The sequence below is a fragment of the Homo sapiens genome, chromosome 1 (genome assembly GCF_000001405.40).
Source record: "Homo sapiens chromosome 1, GRCh38.p14 Primary Assembly".
NCBI classification, from domain to species: Eukaryota; Metazoa; Chordata; class Mammalia; order Primates; family Hominidae; genus Homo; species Homo sapiens.
Genome location: NC_000001.11, coordinates 23,502,938 through 23,505,211, shown reverse-complemented (window position 1 = coordinate 23,505,211; position 2,274 = coordinate 23,502,938). Strand labels below are relative to the sequence as shown.

At 57.4% G+C, this 2,274-nt stretch overlaps 2 annotated features.

The window, feature by feature from the left end:
- Window positions 182-1,015: an enhancer, noted in NCBI's record as "NANOG-H3K27ac-H3K4me1 hESC enhancer chr1:23830689-23831522 (GRCh37/hg19 assembly coordinates)". NCBI's record gives its function as "activates a minimal SCP1, AML or CMV promoter by ChIP-STARR-seq in naive H9 embryonic stem cells {active_cell/tissue: H9 hESC(naive)}" and the evidence as "EXISTENCE:reporter gene assay evidence [ECO:0000049][PMID:30033119]".
- Window positions 1,016-1,850: an enhancer, noted in NCBI's record as "H3K27ac-H3K4me1 hESC enhancer chr1:23829854-23830688 (GRCh37/hg19 assembly coordinates)". NCBI's record gives its function as "activates a minimal SCP1, AML or CMV promoter by ChIP-STARR-seq in naive and primed H9 embryonic stem cells {active_cell/tissue: H9 hESC(naive and primed)}" and the evidence as "EXISTENCE:reporter gene assay evidence [ECO:0000049][PMID:30033119]".

The following is a 2,274-nucleotide window of genomic DNA, read 5'->3' as shown; positions in this document are numbered from 1 at the left end:
CAACTGGCTTCCTCTACCTTACCTGTGGCCTCCCTGGCCACCCTTTCCCAGCACCATTGCCACACTGGGCTTCCTTGTCATTTCCTGAAATCGACACGTCTTCCCTCTTCTGGGCCTGTCCACATGCTGTTCCTTCCACCTAGGATGCCCTGTGCTCCATTTGAGCTGAGTGGGTGCCTACTTATTCTTGAAGGCCCAGTTCAAGAATCTTTTTTTGTAGTTTTCTTTCTTTTTTTTTTTTTTTAATTGATCATTCTTGGGTGTTTCTCGCAGAGGGGTATTTGGCAGGGTCATAGGACAATAGTGGAGGGAAGGTCAGCAGATAAACAAGTGAACAAAGGTCTCTGGTTTTCCTAGGCAGAGGACCTGCGGCCTTCCGAAGTGTTTGTGTCCCTGGGTACTTGAGATTAGGGAGTGGTGATGACTCTTAAAGAGCATGCTGCCTTCAAGCATCTGTTTAACAAAGCACATCTTGCACCGCCCTTAATCCATTTAACCCTGAGTGGACGCAGCACATGTTTCAGAGAGCACAGGGTTGGGGGTAAGGTCACAGATCAACAGGATCACAAGGCAGAAGAATTTTTCTTAGTACAGAACAAAATGAAAAGTCTCCCATGTCTACCTCTTTCTACACAGACACGGCAACCATCCGATTTCTCAATCTTTTCCCCACCTTTCCCCTCTTTCTATTCCACAAAACCGCCATTGTCATCATGGCCCGTTCTCAATGAGCTGTTGGGTACACCTCCCAGACCGGGTGGTGGCCGGGCAGAGGGGCTCCTCACTTCCCAGTAGGGGCGGCTGGCCGGGCGGGGAGCTGACCCCCCCACCTCCCTCCGGGACGGGGCTGCTGGCTGGGCAGAGGAGCTCCTCACTTCCCAGTAGGGGCGGCTGGGCAGAGGTGCCCCTCACCTCCCGGACGGGGCGGCTCCCGGGCGGGGGGCTGACCCCCCCACCTCCCTCCCGGACGGGGTGGCTGCCGGGCAGAGGGGCTCCTCACTTCTCAGACGGGGCGGCTGCCGGGCGGAGAGGCTCCTCACTTCTCAGACGGGGCGGCTGCCGGGCGGAGGGGCTCCTCACTTCTCAGACGGGGCGGCTGCCGGGCGGAGAGGCTCCTCACTTCTCAGACGGGGCGGCTGCCGGGCGGAGAGGCTCCTCACTTCTCAGACGGGGCGGTTGCCGGGCGGAGGGTCTCATCGCTTCTCAGACGGGGCGGCCGGGCAGAGACGCTCCTCACCTCCCAGACGGGGTCGCGGCCGGGTAGAGGCGCTCCTCACATCCCAGACGGGGCGGCGGGGCAAAGGCGCTCCCCACATCTCAGACGATGGGCGGCCGGGCAGAGACGCTCCTCACTTCCTAGATGGGATGGCGGCCGGGAAGAGGCGCTCCTCACTTCCTAGATGGGATGGCGGCCGGCCAGAGACGCTCCTCACTTTCCAGACTGGGCAGCCAGGCAGAGGGGCTCCTCACGTCCCAGACGATGGGCGGCCAGGCAGAGACGCTCCTCACTTCCCAGACGGGGTGGCGGCCGGGCAGAGGCTGCAATCTCGGCACTTTGGGAGGCCAAGGCAGGCGGGTGGGAGGTGGAGGTTTTAGCCAGCCGAGATCACGCCACTGCGCTCCAGCCTGGGCACCATTGAGCACTGAGTGAAGGAGACTCCGTCTGCAATCCCGGCACCTCAGGAGGCCAAGGCTGGCGGATCACTTGCTGTTAGGAGCTGGAGACCAGCCCGGCCAACACAGCGAAACCCCGTCTCCACCAAAAAAATACGAAAACCAGTCAGGCGTGGCGGCGCGCGCCTGCAATCGCAGGCACTAGGCAGGCTGAGGCAGGAGAATCAGGCAGGGAGGTTGCAGTGAGCCGAGATGGCAGCAGTACAGTCCAGCTTCGGCTCGGCATCAGAGGGAGACCGTGGAAAGAGGGGACGGGGAGAGGGAGGGGGAGGGGGAGGGGGAGGGAGAGGGAGAGGGAGAGCTTTTTGTAGTTTTCTTGACATTAACGTGTAATCATTAATACTTTGTACATGGATATTGTTATAGCTTACTGAATATTACATGTTGGGCACTGAGAAGATAAATATGAATAAGACCTAGTTCCCATTTTCAGGATGCTCACAAAACACAAACACATAAAAATATAATTATAAATAATGTAACAATTGTAGTGACTGGTATACATTACAGGAGTTGGTGGGAGGGGGTTGGTCATTTTGGAAGGTTTCCTGGCCTTCATACACCATAATCTCATTTAATGCTCACAACAACCTCAGGAAA